At 37.7% G+C, this 27610-nt stretch overlaps 1 protein-coding gene and 1 long non-coding RNA gene across 11 annotated transcripts in view, besides 1 other annotated feature; both read left to right on the plus strand.

Annotated features, from left to right (window-relative positions):
* The window catches only part of DTHD1 (death domain containing 1), a 65896-nt gene extending 57588 nt beyond the window's left edge, over nt 1–8308 (plus strand). For all 10 annotated transcript variants that reach the window (NR_160267.1, NR_165630.1, XM_011513693.3 and 7 more), the window contains one exon: nt 4299–8308. Coding sequence is in view for 8 of the 10 variants with exons in the window: in XM_011513693.3 (XP_011511995.1) it covers nt 4299–4621 (323 nt within the window). In the remaining 2 variants the exon portion in view is untranslated. The remainder of the gene's footprint in view (nt 1–4298) is intronic.
* Nucleotides 9356–9505: an enhancer, noted in NCBI's record as "active region_21409". NCBI's record gives its function as "activates an Ori minimal core promoter by ATAC-STARR-seq in GM12878 lymphoblastoid cells {active_cell/tissue: GM12878}" and the evidence as "EXISTENCE:reporter gene assay evidence [ECO:0000049][PMID:35858748]".
* Nucleotides 16167–27211, plus strand: LOC105374399 (uncharacterized). Its single transcript, XR_925195.3, has 3 exons — nt 16167–17706; nt 17806–17932; nt 26619–27211. It is a non-coding gene; the product is annotated as an uncharacterized LOC105374399 (long non-coding RNA).
* Nucleotides 27212–27610: the final 399 nt, after the last annotated feature.

Consider the following 27610-nt stretch of genomic DNA (forward strand, 5'->3'; position numbering starts at 1 on the left):
TTCCCCACCCCCTTATATGTTGTATATATGTGAATCATTTCATAAAAAGGAATGGAGAAAGTGACTTTCCAATCAAACAATCATTAACTTTATTGGCCTAATAAATACTTATTTCCTGGGAGGTCATATACAAATAAACCAAACTAGCATTCTTAAATCTGCATGTAATTAAAGCTGAGTTGAAATCAACAAGAAATATAAATGTTACTGAGTTTTATTTTATTTGTATGGCTAGCAATTGCTTAGTTTACTAATAGATGACTATACTTTGAGCTGAAATGTTGACTCTTAAGTTGTAAATCTTAAAGTACGTTCAATTCAAATCAACGTTTGAAGTCAATCTATTTGAATTTGAGGTATATATTGATATGAAACCATAAGAAACATTTAATATTTGGTTATCATTATGCATAATTCAAGTACATAACAATGCTACAGATTTCAGGGTAGAATTGGAAACTTTTATTCTATTTTAGCTCTTGAAACATTTTATTTTGTGATATCAGTAGCTACTAATGTGATAACTTATTGGTCTTCAAAAGACATCAGCGAGGATATTCTTACTAGTGCATCAGGTCCATTATGAATGATATGAGTTTGCCCTTACGGATTGGTACAGAAAATGTTCAGGTCTTATTAAACTCCACTAGGAATAGGATAGAATAAACACCATATTATAAACCCTTTCAGGGATAAATAAACGGTGTTTAAAAAGAGAGCAGATGATATAGAAAACAACAACAGCAATAGATAAAAGCTTTGCAAGTTTAATAATGCTGTTAACCTTTGAAGAATTTGATGTCCAGATAAAAGCATAATCACTGCCATCATTAACAGTCACTGGAGAATACAAAGGTAGAAGGATCCTTCTTATGGGTACTAGGAGTTCTAGTTTATTACACAGGTTGGGAGATATTTGTCCTCACATGAATCCTCCCACATGACCAATGCCATCAGAACTGCTGTAGGAAGGGTGACAGTAGATGAGGTTAGACATTTTGAGTGGGAGAAAACTATGAAAAGTTTTAAATGCCAAATAAAGACGTTTAGACAATAGGAAGACCCTACAAGAAATTTGTCAACAGGGGACTGGCAAAATCAAATTAGACTTTCAGGTGAACCAAAACTGACAGCAGGGATACAAGCTAGAACCCTGGTTCCTGCAATAGTCAAGGAAGAAGCTAGGTAGGACATGGTTAAGATTGAGTCAGCAAGGCAGGAAAGTAAAGCAAATATTTGAGATGCTCGGAGTTAGGAACATTAGGGCTTGGGTGCAGGGGATAAGAAATAGGCTTTGAAAAATGTGAAGAACATCACATGTCTCAGCTTGCTCAGCTGAGTGGCTGCATTAACTAAGAAAGTGAATAGAGTAAAGGAAGATCAAGTAGTGAGAAGGAAAGACCATCATTGATTATTCTGATTTTAGAAATATGACATTTGTATTGGCTGTAGAATACACTGATAGAGATAATTAGGAGATGAATATTGTGAGTGCTACACCAGGATTTAGGAAAATAATGCCAAAAGATAAAGATTGGGTAGATCTAGGATATTTCCCATAGTTAGTGGTGATGGTAACGTCAGTAAGAGTTGATGCATTCATTGAGGGGTGAGGACAGAAATAGAAGAGGCCTGAGATGGGATGCAGTAATACAGCAGTATTAGGAGGAAGAGAGTTAGCAGGGGGAAAAGAATATTGGAAGGAAGACAGCTGGCAAAGGGCAAGAGAGGAAAGAGGAGAAGCAGGGGAGGCCAGGGGCTCCAAGGAGAGGAGTAAAATGCTCCAAGGAAGTAAGAGAAGACACAGGCCAGGAATCAGTGCAGTGAGTAGAAGTAGGAGGCCTCTCATAAGATTGGAAAGAAAGGCTTCAACAGAGGTTTGAAGAAGGGCATAGAATGCCTAACGCAGAGGTTTAAGTAGTGAGTTGATAGTGAGGAACTTGAGCCCTCAAGTTTACATTAGATTTTGAAAGAGTATGTGATAAAGAGAAGGAAAGAAATACCACAATAGCTTGACACAGTAGCAGTAGCAAGGGATGAGGAGGCCTGAGAGTGTTTATAGGAAGCAAGGAAGGAGCCTTGGTGAGGAGGAGATTAAGGGGCAGGTGTGAAGGGAAAATACTTGATGAAAAGCAGTGTGAGGGATGGAATCCAGCAAACACAGAGGAATGAGATTTTGTAAGAAAGTAATTTTGAAATGAAAACAAAGTTAGGAGAACTCAAGTCAAATGGCTTTGGGTAAAGTAGGAGAAGCAGACATGGGCTGAGTGAAACAGAATGAGAGTGAGATTGGGGCTAAAGATAGGAGAAAAGATTCATGTCATTGTTACAAACAAATTTTTATTGAGTTTAGAAAAAATATTTTTAATGGATTTTCAAGCGACTAAGGACTCAAATGGTATAAAATAATTTACAGTTTGTTGATCACATTCAACATATTTTCCTAACCTCAGGCAGCCCAGGTAACTGAATGCAATCTGAATAACACAAGATTCAGATTGACAAACTGAGAAAAATGAAAGCTAAAAAAGACAACATATTCTAAGGTGGACACAAGACCATCATTGATGTGCATAGTTGATCACTAGCAGCAGTGCAGGTACAGAGATATATGAGACCCTGCAGAGGTGACCGAATGACTGGGGGACACCAAGGGATCACTATAGTAGTGATGGCAGCAAAGAGCATATTGAGCAGAAGCAAAGGACTAGAGGCCATGGAATATGTTTAGGAGGTAGAGGTCAGCAGTAATATTAAGGGGCTAAAGCCAAGGAGGTAGAATAATTCTGGCTGAGCATGAAACACGAAGATTGGCCTTGAAAGTCAGTTTCTAGTTTGGAGTCACAAGATGTGTCATTGGAGTTGACAAAATTAAGAAACTGGGGTCGGAGGTGTGAATGATGATCCGCAGGGCTGCTGATGAAGTTGCCTACAGAGTGTTGCTGATGACGTGGATGGGACGAGAAAAGCCTGCCCAGATAACATGGACTTCAAAATGAATGCACTGCATGGAGGTAGCAGAACTCTGGGTTGAAAGTGATGATGGAGAACAAGGAAGTGCTGGCCCCTTTTCCTTGTTTTCGCAGAAAGGTGGCTTTGTATTGTAAAATCAGGGTGCAATTTACAGGAGTGTGTAGGAGGAAGGAATAGTTCAGTAATGGAAGGCAGATGGAATGCTTGCTTAACACCAGACCAGGGAAACTGGTGCAGGGGTGAGCATGAAAGTGGGAGAAAGTGGCTATAATGCAGGGAAGGGCTGGAATGTGAAAGGAGAGAGATAGTAGGGGACAGAGGTTTTATTCAGAGTTATGGATCTAAGTTACACATCAGTAACAACCATAACAACAGGTGAACAGGAGTCAACAGAGGACGGCCCAGTGGAAAGTGTTGGTGTAAAGGATCTTCCACAGAATTGTTTTTGGGTGGTAGATCATGTCGTGTGTATGTCTGCGTGTGTGTGTGAGTGTGTGTATAGTTAGGGATGTGTGTGAGGATTGGCTAGCTGCTGGTATAATTTATGCATCAGATTAGTACTAATAAGGAGAAATAGGTTTTGAACCTAAAATGACCCTTCAAAAACAATGCTACTCGGCCAGGCGTGGTGGCTCACACCTGTAATCCCAGCACTTTGGGAGGCCGAGGTGGGCAGATCACGAGGTCAGAAGATTGAAACCATCTTGGCCAACAGATGAAACCCCGTCTCTACTAAAAATACAAAAAAAAAAAAAAAAAAAAATCCCATCGTGTGGTGGCTTGTGCCTGTAATCCCAGCTACTCAGAAGTCTGAGGCTAGACTAGAATCGCTTGAACCCAGGAGGCGAAGGTTGCAGTGAGCCCAGCTCACACGACTGCACTCCAGCCTGGAGACAGAGCGAGACTCAACAAACAAACAAACAAACAAACAGTGCTACTCAAAGCATGGTTGCGGACCTCAGCACCAGCATCTTCTGGGAGCTTGTTAAAAATGCCAAGTTTGCTCCCACCCTAGTTTTGCTCAATTAGATCATGTAGAGCAGAGCGTAAAAACCATTTTAACATGCCCTCTTGGTTCTCAGGTACATTAAAATTTCATAAGCATTTAAAACTCTCTGCAATAGCTAGTACCCTCAGGAGATGATCCCAGAATGCCAGGGATTCAGAGGCTTTTGATTGTTGCTCCAGGTAGTCTCATATCTCTGCACTGCTCCAAGGCCAAACAAAAGAGCAGGGAGACTTCCTATAAACAGGTGTGGAGGGTTAGACCCATGCATCCCCCAGGAGAGGGTCCTAACCGTGAGTGTTCCTCCTGTGCCTGACAGAAGCCCTTTGGGATAACTTGCTCCATTGGCTGGCTGAGGAGCTCTCAGAAGAAAATGCTGAGTCTCTTTCCTCAACTCTCCCTCTGCGCCGTAGCACCATTCAGCTCATCAAACTCAAGAACCCTGATGATCTCACAGAACAGATCCACGAGTTTCTTTGCTTCTGGAAAAAATCGCTTCCAACTTTCACCGACAAACTTCGCCTCCTGGCTCGACATCTCCGCAAGATTGGCAGGAGTGATCTTGCAGAAGAGCTCAAATTCAAGTGGGAAAATAAAGTGTTCACTGAACCACAGCAGTGTTTTGATGTAGCCCCTGAGTAAAAGCCTGATCTCTCTTCCTTTACCCCTAGGAAAAGGCACACGGTGGGTTTTTGTTTCTGTCAACATTTTCCTGGAAGTTTCCGAATGATATTATTTGAAGTCAGTCTATTTAATGATGTGCTATTTAATGATGTGAGACAAAGGGAGAAGCACGGATCAGATAATAGAAAGCATTCCTGGGTGTGAGCGCTCCTCTCTGGTTGAGTGATTATGTTTTGCAACCATGACTGTCTTGAGTTTGGCCTCACTTAATAGCATTTGCAATTGAGTTTGACTTGTTCACATTTTAAAAGCTAAGTGTGAAGAAAAGATCTGATATATGTAATTACTTATTAATTGGTATCTACATAAAATTAAACTAGTTTTCTGTGACTTCAAGTGTGAGCCCAAAAATATCTGAGACAGTTCTCAATCAATTTAGAAAGATTATTTTGCCAAGGTTAAGGACAGGCCCGTAACAGCCTCAGAAGATCCTGATGACATATGCCCAAGGTGTTCGGGGTAGAGCTTGCTTTTATGCATTTTAGGGAGTTATAATATATCAATCAATACATGTAAGGTGTACATTGGCTCAATCTGGAAAGGTAGGACAACTCAAAGCAGGGGCTTCCAGATCACAGGTAGATTTAAAGATTCTTGATTGGCATTGATTGAACAGTTATTATCTAAAGACCTGGAATCAATAGGAAGGAAATGCCTGGGCTATGATAAGAAGTTATGGAGACCAAAGTTTTATAATGCAGATGAAGCCTCCAGGTAGCAGACTTTAGAGGGAATAGATTGTAAATATTTCTGATCAGTCCTAAGGTCTGTTGAAATTTATGCTGGCCAGCTTTTCCTGAATTCCAAAAGAGAGGAGGGTATTATGGAGTCATGTCCAACCTCCCCTTCCCAGCATGGCCTAAACTAGTTTTTCAGGATAACTTTGAAATGCCCTTGGCTGAGAGAAGGGGCTTGTTCAGATAGTTGGGAGACTTAGAATTTTATTTTTGGTTGACTCAGGCAACCAATTCAAGTTACATAGATACCATAGAGCCTACAGTAAACAATACAAAATAAATTGGACTGAAAGACTTGATGTCGGTGGTAGTAACTCACTTTAAAAAAACCTTTCTAAGCTCGAAATAAATTAAAAATAGAATAACACTTCAGCCATTTACTGGCACAGACTTTTCCTTTATAAAAATATAACTTGGAAGAGGGAAAATTCCATATTTTGTTATTAGCGAAATGAGGCAGTGCAGAGAAAATAAGTTATCAGTGAAAGAATTCAAGGCCTATTTCTTCTACTTAGGAAGAAAACCTGCTTTAAAATTAGTTAACAGAAGCCTTATTACATAAGCCCTAGATATACATCATTAAAAATAAACAAAACATCTGTAAATAGAACATTAAAATGAAAGAAAAAATTAAAACTTATCTAAACCCCTCTTTCTATTGATAATCGCTATTAATGTCTAGTATAAGCTTTGAGTTTTTGGAAAGCCTAACGCCCTTTAGCTCTCTGAAGCAGTTGGATATAAATGGGACATTGAACTAGTTTCACTGACTCATTAATGCAAAAACCATTAGGTCGTTGGCTTGAAAACATCGGTAGCAATTAGTTTCAGTTATTGAATACCTAGGAATTAATTGAGTTATATTACAAAATTAAATGTTTTAATCTCTTTCAAATTTAAACGCAAGACTTCCTTCTACAAATTAACCAGGGATTTAGATATCTATTCAGGTATATATCAAAAAAGGCGATTCCCATTTTCAAACATAGTCCCATAAAGGAATATTTTATTAGTCAAGATTTTTTACATGCTGCCAAAAAGGTACAATATGTATTTTCATGTATTCTTGGGGCAAAGAAAACAGACTAAAATGTTCATTGTTTTCCTGATTACAATCGAACAAAAAAGTAAAGAAAATGAAAGTTGCTTCTTATCCTGTCATTAGAGATTACTATTATTAACATTTTTGGCATAATTTCTTCTAGTTTTTCTTTTTTTCTGGAAGAAAATATTTCTATTTCTATCGGTATAGATGTATCTAAGGACACTCACATATGTGTTCACCTGCATGCACACATGCTAATATGTATGTCCCATCACACACATCCCTGCCACACACCTCTCACAAATGCACCCTCAAACACACAGGCCTACCCTTTATCAGCACTGTTTCGGGTCCACTTGTGCACCTCACATATGCTGTCACAAACACACCCCTCCTGCACACCCAGCTCCCAACTCTCTCACAGAAACACACCTATTCACATACATAAATACATGTGCACACACACACACCCCTCACACACATATAGTTTCAGATCCACTTGTACACTCTCACAAATGTCCTCGTTCACATATACCCCACCTCCACATTTCATATACGCATACACTCATTAATATGCCTCCCCCACAGACACATGCACACACACACACGACATCTCACTTTACCGTTACCACTTCACCTGCACATATACAATCTCATTAAAACACTCCCTGTCATAACCCTCCCGTCTTTCTTTCTCTCTCTCACACATACACTCACATACATTCACTCACAGCCACATATACACACCTCTTCACAACACAGATACATTTTTCCCCCAGAATTAAAACAAATACTGCACATATTGTTGTTACAGTAAAGCAATAAAAAGGTACATAGAGAAAACAATTGATCATCCCTGCAGCATCTCCTCTCTTAAGATAATCCAGGAAATCAATCCCATGTGTAATCTGTGCCACTTGGATTGAGACCTGCCCCTGAACACCCTCAGTATTGATAGACACACCCATACCTTTGCATACCCATTTCTCTGTCTGGTGAGCCAACCTGTATGGACCACATCAGAGATGCCTTGTTCGCTTTTGCTAATGCAAAGCCCCAGCAGAAGACAGACAGGAGGAAGGAGAGTGAATTATACCATTCCCCTTTTCCTCCCTGTGCTCATCTTGGCCTGGCTGTGTCCCTGGCCTGCAACCACTGCTCCTCTCAAGAAGGCCACCTCTAGCCAACTCTCTCCTGTGCTTTGGTAACTGGTCTTCTTCTTGTCTCTTCAAGTCTAAGGGTGGTAATAGCTCTCTTGTTGTTTGGAGTAACTGTGTTATTCCTTGCAGTTCCCCTACATCCTGCTCTCCCCTTTTTAAAATAAAGCCTCCTTTTATTATTCTAATTTGAGTATATCACTATATTTCTCATTGAGACCCTGATTGATACCTCTCTGCACACCTTTCTTATGCTCCTAGCAACGTATACATGTATTTTATTTCCCAGAATGGGAGTCATATATTATATATACAGTTTTTAAAATTACTGTCTTATTAAATTATGAGTTTTTAATGTCTTCGAATGTTTTAATGACTGTATAATATCCTATTTCATAACCATAGCACAATTAATTTTAGTATAATCAATTTCTGAAATTGGTTAAAATGAAATTTTGCAGTATATATTCTTTTATGTTTGACTTTTTATTCAACTTTATGTTGCTGAAATTCATCCATTTTGCTGTGTGTGGCAATGGTTCATTCTCATTAATGTATAATATTCTATTATATGCATATATTAAAATTTTCATATCAATTAGACTGTAGTCCCAATATATACCTAAGAGCAAAGTGATAGTTTACCATAGTTCATTTAACCGTGTTCTATATTCAGGACCATTTAGCAATTAAACTTTGAACATCATTATTCATGTGTTTATTTCATATCATGGAAGCGCAAGAATGCACTACCATTTAGAATCTATACATTTTTAATAACACCAATTTCACTATTGAAAAAACCATTACAGTCACCATTTTGCTAATTATTAAGCATCAAATTTTATAAATAAAATCTTGTAACATTTATTATTTGAATTACCAAAACCTATGTCCATAGTCATCTTGATTAGATACTTACAGCATCTGGAGTGTAAATTCTTGATTACAGCAATTGACTATCACTAAAATGTAGCTTAAATGAACACATACATATTTCCTTGTATATTCTGAAGTATTTTATTATTATTAATTAATTAATTAATTAATTAATTTTTTTCACACAGGGTTTCACTCTGTTGCCCAGACTGGAGCTCAGTGGCATGATGTCACGGCTCACTGTAGCTTTGGCCTCCCAGGCTCAAGTGATCCTCCCACTTCAGCCTTCTAAATAGCTGGGAATACAGGTGCAGGCCTTTACACCTGGCTAATTTTTGTATTTTTTATAGAGATGGAGTTTCACCATGTTGCCCAGGCTAGTCTCGAACTCGTCGGCTCAAGCAATCCACCTTCCTTGGCCTCTCAGAGTTCTGGGATTACAGGCATTACCATGCCTCACCCTTCTGAAGTATTTTAGACTAAAATAGAAATACCTTAACAAATGAGGTAGGTAGGCTTTGAGCACATTATAATCTAATTTTCAAAATAGCTAAATCTTTTGGATAAAGTTTTGTTTTTCTAATCCAGTGTTTCTTAATGAGATGTTATTGGCATTGTGAAAGAAATCCGTTTTCAAAAAATTAACATGCACTGGCTCATAAATTGCAGACCATTCAGCATCCCTGACCTTGTCCACCAAATGAACAAAATGCCTCTCCATCCTAGTGAATGTGACAAGCCAAATATCTTACACATTGTTCTGGTTATGAGGGTTAGGGGTGAAAGAGTGGGTGTTGAGGACCATGTTTTAATCAGCTTTTGGTTGAAGTAGGGCATGAAAGAAAGGGGAAGAACATCTAACGGAAATTTAGAACATTATAAGCAAACCAGGGCTTTGCCTAAACTGTTCAACTGCTACCAGTATTTGCAAGAAATGTCAACTGCTGTCTGATGGCTTTTTCAGAAATGTTCTCAATGAGAAGTCCAAAACTGTGCTATAGAATAAGAAGTTTATCTAAGGTACAAAGTCAGCCTTTCTGAAGTCAGAAGAACAGGGAAATATTGAGTAAGGTCAAAATTGTGGCTGACACAGGCCAGGGGATTCCCTCTTAGCTTAACTAAGCATGACTTCTGTGATCTAACCTCACCAGAATGCCCCGTACTGCCTACACATTTTGACAGATGTCACAACGAGTCCTCAATTCCCTCCGCCTCTCCCAGGACTCCTCTGCTAGCATTCTCTCCCCACTACCTCTCGACATTGATTACCTAACATAGTAAATAATTTACTTACTAGTTATCATTTTTATTTACTTTCTGCAAATAAACACCTGATTTAATTTCCAGGGTGCTTGTCTCTTTTTTTAATTGATATATTCCTATTACTTAGAACTCTGTCTGGCACTCAGTGAATGTTTCTGTTTTGTTTTCCTTACTTTACAAGCGAGAAAACTCTTTCTGAGTTACAGCAGTAGAACCTGGATTAGAAGCCAGATGATTATATTTTCAAAGTCCTTTTTCTTTTACTTCCACCTTTCTACCCCTTTCCCTACACCCAACTCCCCACCATTTCTCTCTCTTCCATAATGTCTGATAATATTTTTTCAGTCTCTGAATACCCCGGACTGGATTAATTGTCTGTGGAACTCTATTTTAAATCCAGCTATAACATTTCTATACACTGTTGTAATTGCCTATTTATTTGTGCTTTTCTCCAACCAGTTTGTAAGTTTCTTGAGAGCTGAGGATTGAGTAGTGTTCATCAGTGAATTTTCAGTTCCCTGCACAGAACCCAGCACATAGTAGGCACTCAATACATCTTCACTGAATTAATTCATGAATAACATCTACACACTGACATGTTATTGGGATCCTCTTTTTGTGCCCTATATTTCTTATTGGAAGCAACTTTGTGGGGATAGTTGCCATGTCTGAGAAGGTAAAAAAATTAGCTCAGACTGTAAAAATCTGGCCCACCATTCATCAAGCTGGAATAACAGACACTGATGAAGCCACCTGCAAAGTTAACAGGAATCAGTGTTTCCTCCAAGCACATATTGCAGCTATAATATGTCCCCTTCTTTGAGTGACTGCTGCTTTCTTATACACTGAGACATTTTTGTTCTCCCAAATCATGGATTATCAGAAACCTTACTGCCTGAAATCATATCTGTGAGAAAGACGTATTCTTTTCTTGCCGGGAAGATCTAAGTCATTTTGACACAGAAAAGCATTCTTGATTTCTACCCAGTTGCAGAGCTTCAGATAAAGGGTTTCTGGATACAACACTGCATATCTATCTCAACATTCCTGTTTGCCAAGGAAGGAAAACTCTGGGTCCACTTTGCATTGCAGACCTGATGTTGACCCCTTTATACACAGCTCTGCTTTGCTTTCAGCCTATCAAAACACTAGCGTCCACCCTCCTCCTGTGTACTCAAATAACTCCATCTTTGCTTTTGTTTACCGAGGCACTCACAGTTCCTCTGTGTGCAAGCCCTTCATGGCAATGAATTAAGAAATCTAACTTTGTGGAATTTCAGGTGTGTCCCTGGTTGTCTTAGCCTGATGGGGACACTCCTGTGACCTTTCTGTTTTCCAGCCCAGTGTTTCTCAAATCAGCAGCGTATTAGAATTTGTAGGAGATTCCTGGAGCCTTTCTGAGAAATTCTGATTGAATTAGTCAGAGGCGTGTTCTGGGAATCAGAATTACAAAGTTCCCCAGTTGATTCTAATTTGTAGGCAAGGTGATATATGCCAAACTGACCCAGGATACAGGATACCCTGGAGTGGATATTCAAATTCAGTTTCACAGGACCAAAACAACCTTCTAACTCAAAATCTTTGGCTATGTACCTGAGTATTCTGTAAGGTTAATGAAGACCTCAAGTCACACTCTCACCATGGAAGATTAAAGACATTGCCTATCATATTCCACTTCTTGTCCAAAACACTTTCTCAATTTTTATTTTTACTTTTCATGATTACTACTGAACCAAGGGTAACATAGGAGGGAAAAAAAGGAAACAGTGCAAGCTCTGTCCTATGCTGAATATCCATTTTTTCCTCTTAGAGTCCTCATTTGAGATGATTTATCTGTTCACAAGAATAAGCAGGGTGGAGTGGGGAGCCGAGGAGCTGAGGCACGGAATTGGACTGGTTGGGAAGGAGGAACACTTGGCTTAATCCCCCATCAACAGCAGAACTCAAATTTAAAATTGTAGTTAATGAGAAGAGCCCACCACTATCACAAAGATTAACTGACTTCCCTGGAAGCTGCTCGGTGTGCACCTTTAAACCTGGTTCTATGAATACATGTCACCTCCATCTATAAACTTTGAATTAATATTTTTGACCTTTTCTCTCTATTTAAAGGATAAAATTATATTCCACTGCATTTGTACATGCTAAAAAATTTAAAATACACCGCAATATATTCTATCTTTATTAGACTTATTTTTGGTAATTTTTACATATGCCAAGAGCCTCAGAAATTTGAACTGATCCAAGCCTCACTCCACCTGAAAGGCCCTGTTTATGCCAGTCAGCCTGAAACTCTTCTTTAGAAATAGTCACTGCAAATGCCTAGATGCCACCACGAGGGGGCCTCTGTGTCACAGATAAAATTAAGGAAATGTTCAAGACCTCACAAATTCCTTTATGTAGTGAAAGACCTGCTCTGCAGGATACTTTTTTTTTTTTTTTAATTATGAAGTTATTGTAGAATTAGAGGGAATAATTTCACCTATGGCCAATATACTGTCAATGCAATAGTACATTATTTTGTGGCTAATGTAGTGTTCTAATGTTCTGAAATGTCTAATTTCCATTCACTGTGAAGAAACAAAGTACTATCTACAAGAACTGGTGCATTATAGAGGTCTTTACATTACAGTGTATCTTCTGTTTCCTTAATCAAAGCAACTGTAATGATGACATATATTATTGATCATTAGAACTGACTGTAATTTCTCTGAATTACTGGGAAATGGAAACTGAAAATATAAACTATGGATAGTACTATGAAATAAATGTACTTTTGATTAAATTCACTCTCCAATAAATGCTACTGACTGACATTCTAAAGAATTACCTTCTTGATTTTGAAATGTTCTGAACAAGGGTGCTTCTGTGGTTTGTTGGTTTACAAAAAGTGGCTAGCATACATTAAAAGTGAATATCTAAATTAGGATGATTTTTAAACAAATAATTGGGTGATATTTTCCAGAATATTTTTAGTTATAATTTTAAAGTAATGTATTTTGTGAGATAAATTCTAAACAAAGCTGAATATTATGACTCCTTCCACATTACATCTCTAAGCACATAAACCAACAATGTGGTGTCAGTAAAACAGCCCCTGAACATAAAGCAAAAATGAGCAGCATAATTGAAAACCATTAACTATATAAAGATGAGCACTAAAATGAGACTGATTGTATTAAAATATTTGCTGCTCTTCTGTGGGGGAATTATGCATTCTGCCCCATGGATGTTATGCTTGGTGATATGATTTAGAGTACCCATGAAATATGAATGCCATATTTAAGCAGAAGCTTTAAGAGCCATGGGGTGGTTCCACCATGTTCCTTTCCTCTCTGCCTTGAGAGGATCAGTGGTTTAGGGAGGGGTGTTTCATTGGCCTAGGTCCTGAAGCATGGGAGAGATCCATAGCCTACTTGTGATAAGCAGCATGCAAATATGTAAAAATGCATTTTTTTTATTGTTGTAAACCCCTATTATCCTGACCGATACAACTAATTTACTAAGCATAAGGAAGAAAACACTGTATGGCTATTAAAGATATCTGACTTCAATGTTGATCAAAGAAGTAGCAGAACCAGTAGCCCTACAAGCAAGGGAAAGAGAAGGAAAATGCAAAGATTGAAATTATTGCTGGTGTTAGCAGCAGACTGCTGCAGCAAACCAGAGACATTAGAAGTCCTTATAAAAGTGGTAAGCCACTTTTATGCCACTGTAGAAAGATTAATACTAGGTGCCAATTTATTGAATATTAACTATGTGCCAAGATCTTTTTGTGTATAATCTCACTTTATTCTCATAAGCATCCTTCAGTTCAGCGCTATTATTTTTCTTTCTCAATGATGAAACAGGCTTTGAAATGTTAAGTTCATTCATTTACATATTCCTTGTTCATTTGTTCACTTTTTCACTCATAATTCAATCAACAAATATTTCTTAAGCACCTATTATAAATAAATCAGGTGGCAAAGTTAGGTTTTTAACCCCTCCCTTTCTGATTTCAAAGTCCATGTCTTCTCCATTGCATGGAATTCTATAGCATACAGAATTGTAGGATGACTCTCTCAGATTTACCATCCTCTTGTCATATACACTCAATAATTCCCCACATTATGAATTGAAATGGATTTAACTCATAGGATTTGGTAATGTTATATGGAATTAGGAAAGTATTCAGCTGGGCCTGACCTAGTCACCTGAGCCCTTTTTTGACTGGTCTCAGCAGGGGAAGTCAAAAGCAGCATGAATGAAATTCCAGTTGAAGAAGGTTCTCCATTCCTGAAGTAGAAGGGGCCACCTGGTGAAGCTCCAAGTGTAGCCTCTATTTTTTTCTTAATTCAAAAAAATTTTTTGTAGTGATGGACTCTTTCTATGTTGCTTTTGCTCAGTCTGGTCTTGAACTCCTGGCCTCAAGTAACGCTCCCACCTCGACCTCCCAAAGTGCTGGGTTTACAGGTGTCAACCACTCCACCCCTCCCAAAGATAGCCTCAAGAAGAAGAGAGAAATCCTCACTGACAGCTAGCAATACCATAGGGACATCAGTCCTACAATAACAAGGAAATGAATTTTGACAACAACCTGATGGAGCTTGGATGTGTATCTTTCCCTAGCCACAGCTCCAGATGGGGACACAGCCATCTGCACCTTGAGTTCACCCTTCTGAGATGGACCCTGATCAAAGGACTAGCTAGAATGTGCTAGACTCCAACTATAGAAACAGTAAGGATATAAATAGGTGCTATTTCAAGTCACTACGTATGTGATAACCGGCTACAAAACAATAGAAAACTAATGCCCTCTTAGACTGATAACTTTAAGTCATTAATACAAATATTAATTATATTTAGAATTATCTTCATAGAAGGTAGGAAAGTAGAGTTCAGAAATATGCTTGATCAGTAAAGAGTAAGGCAAAAAAAAGATGAGAAATAATTTTACTGTAAGATTGCTAAGTTGCCTTCTAAATTGTAGAGCATGTGATTTTATTTTCTGATTTGATGACCTCTCAAGTCCCTTTTTAAAGTAATCGTATGAATTTTATTATTTCACCATATGCACTAATTGAGATTTTTGTTGAATATGGGTGAAGGTTTCTGAATTGTTGTGGTCCACCCATATTATACGACTTTGAACAAGAAATACTTTCCGGAGCCATGAGTCATTTAATTTAAATATTTCCCTATTTGAAACTTTGGCATGACTGCACAATTCTCTGTAGCAGTTAGACTAGCATTCTTAATTCTTTTATTTATGTGGACTCAGAAGCCCATTCAAAAGATTTCCCCATGGTGACAGTATGAACAAGTATAAGGGGACTTTCATTTCTATAGTCTTTTATTTATATGCACATATTTCCTACAATAACCTTGAACTCTCCCCAGTATTTTTTCTCTGTTGTTATTTATGTAGCATAGGTTAAATATTCATTGAGCATTGAATTTTGGGGGGCAAGTTCCAAGATTTTTGTGTAAGATTATTTTTTATTTAACCTTAGTATTCTTCTGTAGCAAAAACTTCATGAATAGTTTTAATTTTTCCTATACATAAAATGTATCTATAATAAAATGTCACTTAGCTAAACTACATGGAAAATAAATGATTTTAGTTTTTAGGGAATTTCTTTCCAATTTCAAGGTCTATGGTAAATATTACTTGGTATTATTAGAGGGCTTAGGACAACATTCTATAAGAGAGCGTAAACAACATGGTCTTGAAAGTTTACTGAGTTTACAAATAGAAAAATAGGGCACAGCAGCAGCAAATTGTTCATCTAACCTACAGCTCTATGAAATGAAGTCTTGAAATGAGAAATTATTCTCAGATCCATTCCTCAGCAATGAATCTCCTAGTGTTTCCCTTGAAGTGTGCTCCATTATTCATTGGTATTTACAATTAGAATGCCCTATTTCCAGATCTGATTTTCTTTCTTTTTTTTTTTCATTTTAACTTGTTACATTGAATTATATGTCTTCATTCAAGAAAACAATCCTACTTTCTCTTTGTTTAGTAACATTGTTTCAATTGATGTCTTAAATTGCGTTTATAGAAGCAATGATGGCTTGGCTTGGCTTGGTTTGGCTTGGGGTTTCCAATGTTTTGAATAGCATGTAAACAACTTAAACTGCCACTCCAATCCTAATCATTTAATGGAATGTGATCTCTCTCTCTCTCTCTCTTTTTTTTTTCTTTTTTGAGACAGGGTCTCGCTCTGTCAACCAGGCTGGAGTGCAATAGCGTGATCTTGGCTCACTGCAACCTCTGCCTTCCAGATTCAAGCGATTCTTCTGAGTAGCTGGGATTACAGGCACCCGTCACCACACCCAGCTGTTTTGTGTGTGTGTGTATGTGTGTGTGTGCATGTGTGCTTTTAGTAGAGACGGGGTTTTGCTGTGTTGGCCAGGCTGGTCTCGATCTACCCACCTCGGCCTCCCCAAAGCGCTGGGACTACAGGCGTGAGCCACCACACCTGGCCAGAATGTGATATATCTAAAGGAGTTATTTATCTAGTTTATAAAATCTTGGAAAGAAACAATCTATCTTCTGGAGGAGACTCTGAGGTCTGAGCATATAAAATTGTACAGGCTGTGAAGTTACTGCCCTATGACATATAAGAGAGCATCATTATTAGATTATGGGTTAGAGGTCCCGAGTTCCTAGTTCAGGCTCTGGAACTAATTTTCTGATGACTTTTGGAAAGTTCCTACATATTTGCTTCAAAAATCTTTTTCTAGTTACAGATAAAAGAGTTGGAAATATTTAAGATAGCAAATATACTGCTTGAGGGTTGTTACTTTCCGCCATCTCCACATTCATCTATATAGATAGTTAAACCTGACCCTATTCATTCATTCATTTATTAAAACTTGACCAAAACCCTCATTCTTAAACTTTGTAGTTTTCAACACACGTATGAACATAATTGAATTGTCATTTAACATGAATATTACTCCCAGAGCAGATGGTCTCCAAGCCCTCTTCTATTTTCCTAGTATTCTGTGATCTTGCATGGATCCTTCTGTGCAAGAAATTTTGCATAACCTCTAAAAGGGATCCCTTTTGCTTCAGTTCTTGACTATGTGCCTTGGTTGACTGCCTTTTCCTTAATGCAGGACACACTTTGCTCATGAGTACAGTTAATGAACTATTAGAACATTAGTGCCCACACATTCGTGTGCATCAGCATCTGGAGAAACACAGATTTCTGTACCCCACTTCAGTTGTTGATCCAGGAGGTCTGGAGTGAGACCCTTGAATTTGCAATTCCAACAAGTTTCTTGGTGATTGTGATGCTGCTGCTCCAAGGATAACATTTTCAGAAACATTTCTGTCTAAAACATTACTGAACCTAGAGTTAGTAGATCTCCAATCATCTATGGATAGATTTCAGGGAGAGTATAAAAAAGAAAAAGATGGTTTAAACAATTGCATTTATATTTTACTAAACTACTATGAATGTAGGCAACAAACCACAGAAATATTAGTTGTACCTGACTTTGTCCCAATATAAATAAGACATATTTTCATATCATCCTACAATGGTTTCAGATATCTTGAAATATGGTTTATGCACATCACCACTCTGACATAATATTGGCTATTTATCTGTCATTAGATTTGATTATGAGTTATTATAAAGGCCATTTCTTATTATGTCTCAATAAAACATGTTAGTAACTTATTTTAATATAAATTTTTCTTTTTAATTTTATGCATTTTATTTTTAACACTGAAAATAGTATTCTGAATAGAATTTATAGGCTTCATCAATTTGTTAGAAGGGTTCATGGCGGGAGACATAAACTCTCTTTCTAAATGATGAGAATAATAAAGATGTTAAGGCCAAGTCATGTGCCATACACCAGGACCTTCGTGGTTATGCTCACACCATCAGAAAACCTGGCAGCCACAGAACTGGAGGTGCTGGGTGATGTCTCTCTCCTGTCGCCTTCCCATCTGAGCAGGTAAATATCAAGCTACATGGTTGGACAAATAAAACTATATGTTTGGTTTTCTTCACATTTTTCATGATGAAACTCTACATGCCATTTTTGCTATTCCAGATGATGCTTATAGTAAGATGCCTCTGATGTTTCTTTAAGTTTGATTATCACTCAGAGTAGCAGCTCTCAAAACATGGTGGCAGTGGCAAGGTCTCTGCAACCTTTTCATGGAATCTCAAAAGACAAGGTAAGGGCATTTTATGGTGCTACTAAGATGTTATTTGCCCTTTTCTTTTACATTTTTATTAGTAGACAGTGGAGTTTTGCAGAGGCTACGTGATGTGTGATGATTGAATGAAAAAGAAGATATGAGACTTCAGCTGAGTTGTATTAAACCAGATGTTAAAGAAATTTGCAAAAATTTAAACAATGTCACTTTTTTCATTTTTATTTGTTTTGGAAAATATAGTTATTTTAGTGAAAATGTTATTTATGTTAACATATAATGGGTTTAATATAGTTGTTATTTATAAATGAATTAATCAATAAAAATACCAAGAGTTTCTGTTTTGGCCACATGCAGTGGCTCACACCTGTAATCCCAGCACATCGGGAGATTGAGGAAGGCAGATCACTTGAGGTCAGGAGTTCATGACCAGCCTGACCAACATGGTGAAACCCCATCTCTACTAAAAATACAAAAATTAGCCAGGTATGTTAGTGGACACCTGTAATCCCAGCTACTTGGGAGGCTGAGGCAGGAGAATCACTTGAATCTGGGAGGCAGAGGTTGCAATGAATTGAGATCGCACCATGGCACTCCAGCCTAGGTGACACAGTGAGACTCTGTCTCAAAAAAATAGAATTTCTGTTTTAATTAAAAACACGGAAAGTATAGTTAGATACAACCAACAGGAACAGGAGCACTTCAAAGTCTTTAGTTTTCAAGAGTTACGCTCTTCACAAGGGGTTTTGAATTAAAAATATTTTTCTTTAGTATTAATAGTCCAAGGAACATAATTGTTAAAATATTTAATATCAAAAAGTTCATTAGTGATTGTGTACTCTTGCCAAGTGTTGAACCAAGTACATAACGCCAACTGTCTCTTGAGAATTTACTAAGTAATCTCATTGACAGAAACTAATATCAAAAACAGAAAATAGATAAAACAGGAAACAAAGTGATTTAAATAAGTTAATTTAAAAAAATCCAATAGCTTTAGGGGATGACAGGGTTAAATGGAAGCCGTATTGGAACACACAGGTTGAGCCAGATGCTTTTTTTCCCTTCCAAGTCTCTTTTACCTGCTTGCCATTAGTATTTCAAGAAGAAATAAGATAGTACGAATATTTCAGACAGGAGACACATGGAGCAAAATTCTCCCGAAAGTATGAGTAACTGCTATTAGAACATCAGGTTGGGGCAGGAGAAAGCCAAACACCTGAGGAGACAAGCAGGAAATGTAAAAGTGCAAAGCCCTCACAGCTGGGGCGTGCAGGATTGTGAGCTGGATTGGACTTCATTCAAATGCTGACCAAGCAAAAGAGATCCTGGCTGAAGTCTTTCCATCGGGCAACACATATGTACAATCCTTTCCTTAGAGGATGTTCTAATAGAATGGAGTGGAAGTTGAGCAAATGGGGGCCCAAAGGAAATAGTAGACTATGAGAAAAAAACAGAGTTCCACACAACGTTCATCCACTTCAAACTAAAGTTTTTGGCAAGCTTGGTAAGTCGAAATCGTGATTAAGGGTGAAAAACAAGATCTGTCCTTTTACGCATATAGCAGGCAGTCTTCTGATGGAAACTGAAATATGGAAAACTCCACCCTGGCTCTAAATTCCTCCTGGAAGCAGAGACATTTGAACGATGTTGCAATAGTTTATTATCTGGGAAAAGAAGCATATTACCTAAAAGATACATTAATGTGGATTAACTCAGATGATTAGCTCCCAAAGCTCTCATAAATCATTACTGAATAAATGATCACATTAATCAGATGACTAGACTTGCTGGTCAGGTACAAACACTGTAGAAGCCCCATCCCCAAAGAAGCAACTATATCCAGTTATTAGTAATTTGTGATATAGCTGTGAGCATCTAGTCAACAAAATGCAAGCAGGTTCTCAGTTATGTTTGTTTATATGCCCCAAGTGCTGAGAAAGTGCATAACACAAAATTGGTACTCAATAAATGTTTGATGAGCATATTCATTAGGTAGTGTAGGTTGAAAGTAGGATGAAATTTAATTCAAACTAGGTTAGATAACAGAGTGAATTTTTAGTTCACATAACTGATAAGAGCACAGGTAGGGAGAGATTTAGAGCATTCTCTCATACACAGGAAGCCCTTCAACGCTATTACTAATTCTTGGCGATTTGCTCAAACTCAACATTATCAATCATTTGACTGTCCATAGGCTGCCTTTGCCCATGATTATAGCACAATAGCTTCTTTCGCATCACTATGAGGAGAAGAGATCACAGCAAAACCCGTGACCAAGAACCTTCACCTCGCAGTATTTGGACCATCCTAAATACATCTTGATGATCAGGAGAGTGCCAGGGTTACTTGATACACTCATAGTGACAAGGAATAATGCAATCAACACATTTATCCATGCTAATGCTGAGCAGTTTCTTCTTCCTTAAAGCTCTGATAACACCATGGTTCACCTTCCTTCTGTATCCATGCATTAGTTAAAGTACATCCCTCCATAAAATTATGGCTATCTTACCAGAAAAAAAAAATAGGTTAAAGAAACTCTTCTTCACTTTGCTAAACTCAAAAGATGTGGCTGCCAAACCTGGATGGTTATCAGAATCACTGTTGTGTTTTCTAAATATTCAAATCCTAGGCCCAAACCTGGAGATTCTAATTTAGTAGGTTCCTCAAATAATCCTGACAATCAGATTTCACAATCATTGCTATAAGGCACTGCAAAAATGTATGGTATCATGTTTGAAACTATAGAGCTTGTTTGATTATCAGGTTTGATGCTCATCCTCACAACGTTGGATATTTACTTATGTTTTTCCTAAAATTATAAGCATATTAAAAGCAAAAATTGCCTTACTTATATTTGTGTATGCCTTACTACATCATCACATGTGACATTTGTGCATTATGTTCAGTCAACAAATTTAATCATAATAAGTTAATTCAAAGGACAAAAAGATGAATTACAGGAGAAATTTCTTGAGTTTGACCCAACACTGCAGAGGAGAGGAGTAGAGGTTTGGGCACAATGTACCTGAAAGGTCACCTGGAGTCCGACACTGCTTTTGGGAACCAAAGGCTCTGAATCCCATATTTCACCTAGAACAACACTGCTGATCAATCAGAAGCACCGCTCTTTCACAATAATCGGAAAATGGCCAGTATGATAGGGCAATGCTATGGTCAGTTTAAATATATTACCAACATAAATGCAATATTTCTAATGTAATATTTGACATTTTCACAAATTCCATGTCAAATTTATCAAATAAAGTTAGAGAACAAGAATAAACAAATAGGTTAAAAAATGAATATCTCTTCTGGGGACAAGCAGAGAGATGACAAGCCAAAAATAAATATGCTTGCATGTATATTTCACTATTAAAATTTATATTAAATCCTGTGCTTTTCTACTGTAAAACAATTCAACAAGTAATTTTTATTTATGCTTTAAATCAAGACAAATTGAAATCTTAAAAACAGATAAACCTTAACATTAACACTTAAATACATGTAGTATTTAGTTGGATACTCCCTTTAATGTAAAAAGTAAATAATAAAGTGAACACATAGATATATTTTATAAAATATGTAGATCCTGTAAAATTTGGTTTTCATGTGAGTTATAAACTGAACTTCCTTTTGGAAATCTGAGGTGCAATTCTATGGCTATTATTTACAGAAAATCTCATTTTTTTTCTATGTGTGGAGTCACAGCTGATCTAGATTTATATTTTGCCAATAATTAAATCAATTATTGAAATTAATGAACTATTCAGCCAGTAAAGCACAGGCCTTCTTTGTCAGCTGTTTACTATTCTCACTTCCTAAAGTAACATTTACCATTCAGTGAATTTATCAAGCATGTAACTTGCTGCCAGGAAGTACTTAAATTACAGGGAACATTTGTCTAAGTTCTAATTTCAGCTCTCTGTTCAGTAAAGAATGTACACACAATTAAAAGCATGTGAAAATATGTTTTTCTTCTAAAAATATGAAACATAATCAAAGTTAGAGCTAGAAAGGAATCTTCAGGATCAATGAGATGTGACACCTTCATTTTGCAGATGAGAAAACTGAAATCCAAAATGTATAAATAACTTTCCACAGGCTACACACCTAGTTAGTGGTACAGCAGGGGTACAATCCAGGGTTCTTGATATCCAGTCCATTTTTCTTTTAGTACAGGAAAATCTCCCAAAGTCTGATATGTATAATATGGTAGTAAACTAGATAATTCCAGGTAGATGAGGATGAACGTTGAAAAGTTATTTTATGTTTATTTGAAAATGTAACAGGGACTTCTGGCTTTTGCATAGGATATAAAAACTGAGAAAAGCATTGCTTACACTCTAACAGCCAGAAATAGCAAGGTATTCTGCAAAATGATACAGTTTCCTGAATGCATTAGAGAGCTGAGGTCACAGGTCTATCATCTACCCCAAAGTTGAAGGAAAATAGGTACTTCTATGGAGGGAAATATAAGCCACATATTCTGACTCACCTGAAAGATCACAGATGAAAGATGGGGCTTCCAAGCAAGTTTTAGGAAGAGTTCAGCTAAAATTTAAAGAAGAGTTGCTAAAAGTGGAGTGTGGAAAAGTGTGAGAATATAGAAGCCCTGGGAACTGATAACAGAAGGGGAATTTGTATCTGCGTGCAGGCTATTCGCAACTCTCCACTGGGTGTTCACAAGAAAGACTGGGGTCAGGTGGGAAAAGAGAGAAAGTTTCCCTTGTGGTTCAGGCCTGGAGAAAGGGAGAGATCACAACCTGGGAGAAAGACATTCCATTTGGATGCTTCTTCCTCTGGGAAAAAATGCCTATGTCACTGGGAAGAACAGCAAACCCTACCACGCCCAGGTCGCAGGTCAGGACCCACTGTAGCTCGTGAAAGGAAAATGTTCTGTACATCTTGGTAGGGGCACAAAACCTACTGGGCCAGACCACAAGAGATTTTCTACCACTGAGGGAGAAGGATCATTGTGAGAGCCCTGAGATGCAGTGATACGAGGCTGAATCAGGGCAACAGAAAATCCTGCTGCCCACCATCAGCAGGCTAGCAAGCACCACCTAAAAAACAATAGCTATCTTGGACTGGGGAGGGCCAAAATCTTGCAGAGAAAGCCTCTCTGAAGGGCAAGAGCACAGGGAAAACCTAGAGCTGAGAGTAGAGCAGGAACATGGTGAGAAGACTTCCAGAAAACCAACCCCTAAGCACAAGGTGACAGTAGAGGAAATGGAAGCCAGTGAGGCACTGAAGGTATCACCACAACAGCTAAACTCAAATCCAGCTCAACTCTTACCTATATTGACTCCACTCTTTCCCTGCATTCCCATACACTAAAAGCCTAGCTAAAGAGCTATACCCATTTCCAGGCAGGAATGCTATTTACTTCAGTCTCTGCTGTCCTACCCACAATGTTAAACTTTCAGTACAATTATGAAACACACACAGAAGTAAGCAACATATGTTACACCGTCAATGGGCAAAGCAATAAATAAAGACATACGCAGATATGACCCAGATATTGGAGCTATCTGACCACAATTTCACATGACCATGACTGATATGTTAAAAGCTCTAGTGGAAAAGTTGGACAATATGGATGAACAGGTGGATAATTCAGCGGAGAGATGGAAACTGCAGGAAGATGTCAAATGAAAATACTGGAAATAAAAGTAGAGAACAGGGATGATAGCTTATGTGATCTCATCAGTGGACTTGACACAGCTGAGAAAAGAATCAGTGAACTTCAAGACTGGTTGACAGAAATTGCCTAAACTGAAACACAAAGATAAAAGACTGTGAAAAATGTATTAGAAAATACAAACAGCACATCTAAACCGTGATCTGATCCTGACTTCTGAAGTGAGGCTGAAGTGAAAAATAAATAAGCTAACATCAACGGAGATAACTCATCTAGACAGTGTGTAATCCTGATAGGATGTGACCAGAAGGGAACTTTACCTCGGTGGTCTTCCTCACAAAACTTATAACCCCGTCTAATCATGAGAAAAACATTAGACAAATTCCAGTTAAGAAACACTCTACAAAATACCTGACCCATACTCTCCCAAACTGTCAAGGTCATCAAAAACAAAGAAAGACTTAGTCACAGCTAAGAGGATCCTAGGCAGACATGATGACTAAATGTACTGTGTATTCTGGATGGGATCCTAGAAGATAAAAAGGATATAAAATACTAGTTGGTGCAAAAGTAATTGTGGTTTTTGCCATTAAAAGTAATGGCAAAAGTAATGTTTTTATTAGTTAAATAAAAAACTAAGGAATTATAAGTAAACTATGGCCTTTAGTTAATAATAATGTATCAGTCTTGAGTCATTAATCATGGTAAAGGCACTCTCCTGACACCAGATGTTAATAATAAGAAAAATTGAGTGTGAGGTATGTAGGAACTCTCTGTACTATCTTCACAATTTTTCTTTAAGACAAAAAAAATTCTAAAATAAAAAGATTATTTAAAAGTCAACAAGTTGATTTTTAAATATCATTTAAATAATTATACCAGTAGTATGTGGAAATGGCTAAAAAACTGTAAAGATGGTTTAAGAATAAGTGAGATTTGGGAAACACCGAATTAAAACAGTTAAGTGACTATACTATACCATGCTATTTCCCAGCTTATCTCACAGACAAAATTGTGATCTCTCTGTCCTGGGTTTGTACTCATTCAATTGCTTGATGATTCTGTATGCTTCCTTAGCTCAACAACATAACTCTCCCTCAGACTGAACACTTCCTGAGGGAAAACCAAACGCCTATCTTTCTTTCTTTCTCTTGGGGTCCTGCTTGACAATATTCAAAATGGATATGGAGTAATTATACACAAAGTCAATTAGGATGAAGATTTCTTATTGTATAATAAGTATAATAAGTATAAATAACACTTCCTTATACATTTTAAAAAAAAACCTTATGTCACTCATTTCCCTCAAGTGTTGAGCCATCCAGATTACTATCTTTTCCTTTAGAGTCATTCTAACATTTTGATTACTGATAATCACAGAATTACCACAGGGATTTTTTCCATGATCACTTACATCACCTTATACTGAGATCAAGATAGGTGAATTTCTTGATATTTGCCAGCTGTCAGTAAGTCTCCTTAGAGCTGGGAGAGCAAACAGGTATCATTTTGCAGGCCAATTTCAATCCCTTGCTGACAGCTGCCTGGAAATCTGTCCTGAGGAATCTGAGGCTTTGAATGCTAAGATCAGCCTGTAGGAGAAGGAGGGAGAATGAAGATGGCATGACAGCCCATGTGTCACATACCTGGCAAACTCAATTCGAAGACTATTTGACACTAGCAAGTGTTATCACTCCCATGAAGGGCCTCCAAAAGCTTGAAAAATGTAATATGGAAATGTATACACTTCCATGTGCAAATGTAAACATTTTGACATGTGGTAGGTGGTGAGGTTGGCATGGGACCTTCCTGGCCTCTCTCAGTTCCAACCATAAGAAGGTTCATCAATTTTCCTATTTGTGAGGTTGCTCTTTTGGGTGGTTTTTCATATATTTTCAGCAAAAGCCTTTTTGAGACTAGCTGAAACTCAGTTTTTAGGTAAAAATTATGAGTAAATAATGATTACTATCATTTATAAGGGAAAAAGAAAATAAATTCAGATGAACATAGGGAAGTAAAAAGTTTCATTTTACAGCTTAGAATTTATTGGAAGCAGAGAGGCCAAAAGGCAATCCCTCAAATTTTAAAAAAAGGCTTCCTAGTTATCCTGATTTCTGGGAAATCTCTGAATCACTTTTGACTTATCATATATGCCAATATATGTCTCACCAACTGAGTTTATTCAAACTCAGACTGAGTGGGAAGAAAGTCAATCAATTACCTCCCCATCTCACCTTATGTGCCACCCTGATTATTCCTGGCTGAGAAAGATGGTACTGTGATTATCAACTAGTTACAACTAGTCAAAAGGTTTTCAGAATTTCTACTTATAAGGAGTGTTTCTAGAAGACTAATTAGTAGGTAACCCCTGCATTGCATCACTAATCAGCTATATTGAGAATTAGATAAATGTTTCATTAATTTTGCTTCTCTGGGGCCTGGGGCAAATCAGATTTCTCCTCCTCTGTCTTCATGCTGAGAGCGATTTGACTCTGATACATGCAGTTTCCTTCCTTCTGCCCATCTATGTCTTTATCCATTCATCACACTAATCAGCAAACATTTTATTGAGCATCTACTGTTATCAAGCATACAGAGATAAATAAGTCAGTTTTTGTTCTCAAGAAGATCATACTTGTGTGGGAGAATTATATGCTCCAAGTGTCAAGTGCTAGGACAGAGATAGGTACAAGGTGTGCTGTGGGTAAAAATGAAGGTAGGGTTGCTTTTTGCATCAAGTAGATCATGTACATGGAATGAATGTGAGTCAAGCACCATAAATCTACCAGGGAGAAAAGGTAGAGAAGGGCCTCTACAAAGCATGGGCATCAAATAAGAGCACAGCTCTCTATTTCAGTTTTCTGAAAATAGATCAGAAGTGCAATTAGTGTCTGCCAAGGTTTCAAGAAAAAAAAAATTTGAAGAGCAGAAAAACTAAATGTCAATGCTTTTATAAGAAATGTCATATCCGGATAAGCTTTTCATACAAATTGGGAGTTAAAGTACAGGGAACTTAAGGCTGACTCTAAAGGGCATTATGATTGAATGATTTCTATCCAATAGAAAGCACCTGGATCGATGCTGAGGCCAAGTAAATAAGAACAGGAGGATGCCTCTCCCTGAGCCCTGGCAGAAGCATTAGACTGATGGATTGTGGTCCTTGCTTCAGAGAAGGATGCCCACTCTTTTGTTAGTTGAAATATCTGCTTTGTTCATTAATCTGACAAGTGAACATAGGAGACTTGCTTGAAAACACATCCATCTCTTCCTGGACTCTGCAAAGATACTTTCCTTGGCAAGTGAAAAGTCAAAAGCCTACCTGCAGTGACATTTGCATCATGAGTGACAGTAACAGATGAAAATTTAAACCTTCCATGCACCATTTGGAAGCATCAGTGGGAAAGTCTCTATTCATTAGTTTGAAGCTGGGGGCTTCCATAGTACTCTGTTTGCCAGCCAAACTGGGAATGTAGTTATTTGGCTATATTAGGGCTGTCAACCTAAATAACAGAGAGAGGTTTCCTAAGAGAAAAGATGTTCATTTGGGAATAGAGTATTAGAATAGGGATATGCATGCTGTAGTACACTATGTGCATATCCAAGGAGGTAAAGGAAGACAAAAGTTTTTAAAAGAAATTAATGAGAATTAGATAATTGTTTTTAAATAATTATCTTTGGCTGCAAAAATCAATAACAAGGGTGAGTAATGCCAGTTCAAGGTTAGATGTGCAGTTACTGAACAGATACACTTGCAGAAGCATTTTCTTTGTGTAAGTTTTGGATGGACTTTGTGCAAGGTTGTGGTTTTGTGGAGTCTTTTTCATTATCAGGCATACAAATGTGAGAACCCTCTCTTCATGGCCTCCCTTAATTCTATTTTTCAGGGTTTTTGTTTTTGTTTTTGTATTTGGTTTTTTTTTTTTTTTAGACATAGACTCGCTCTGTTGCCTAGGCTGGAGTGCAGTGGTGTGATATCGGCTCACTGCAAGCTCTGCCTCCCGGGTTCACGCCATTCTCCTGCCTTAGCCTCCCTCCTGAGTAGCTGGGACTACAGG

This window comes from Homo sapiens, chromosome 4 (assembly GCF_000001405.40).
Source record: "Homo sapiens chromosome 4, GRCh38.p14 Primary Assembly".
NCBI classification, from domain to species: Eukaryota; Metazoa; Chordata; class Mammalia; order Primates; family Hominidae; genus Homo; species Homo sapiens.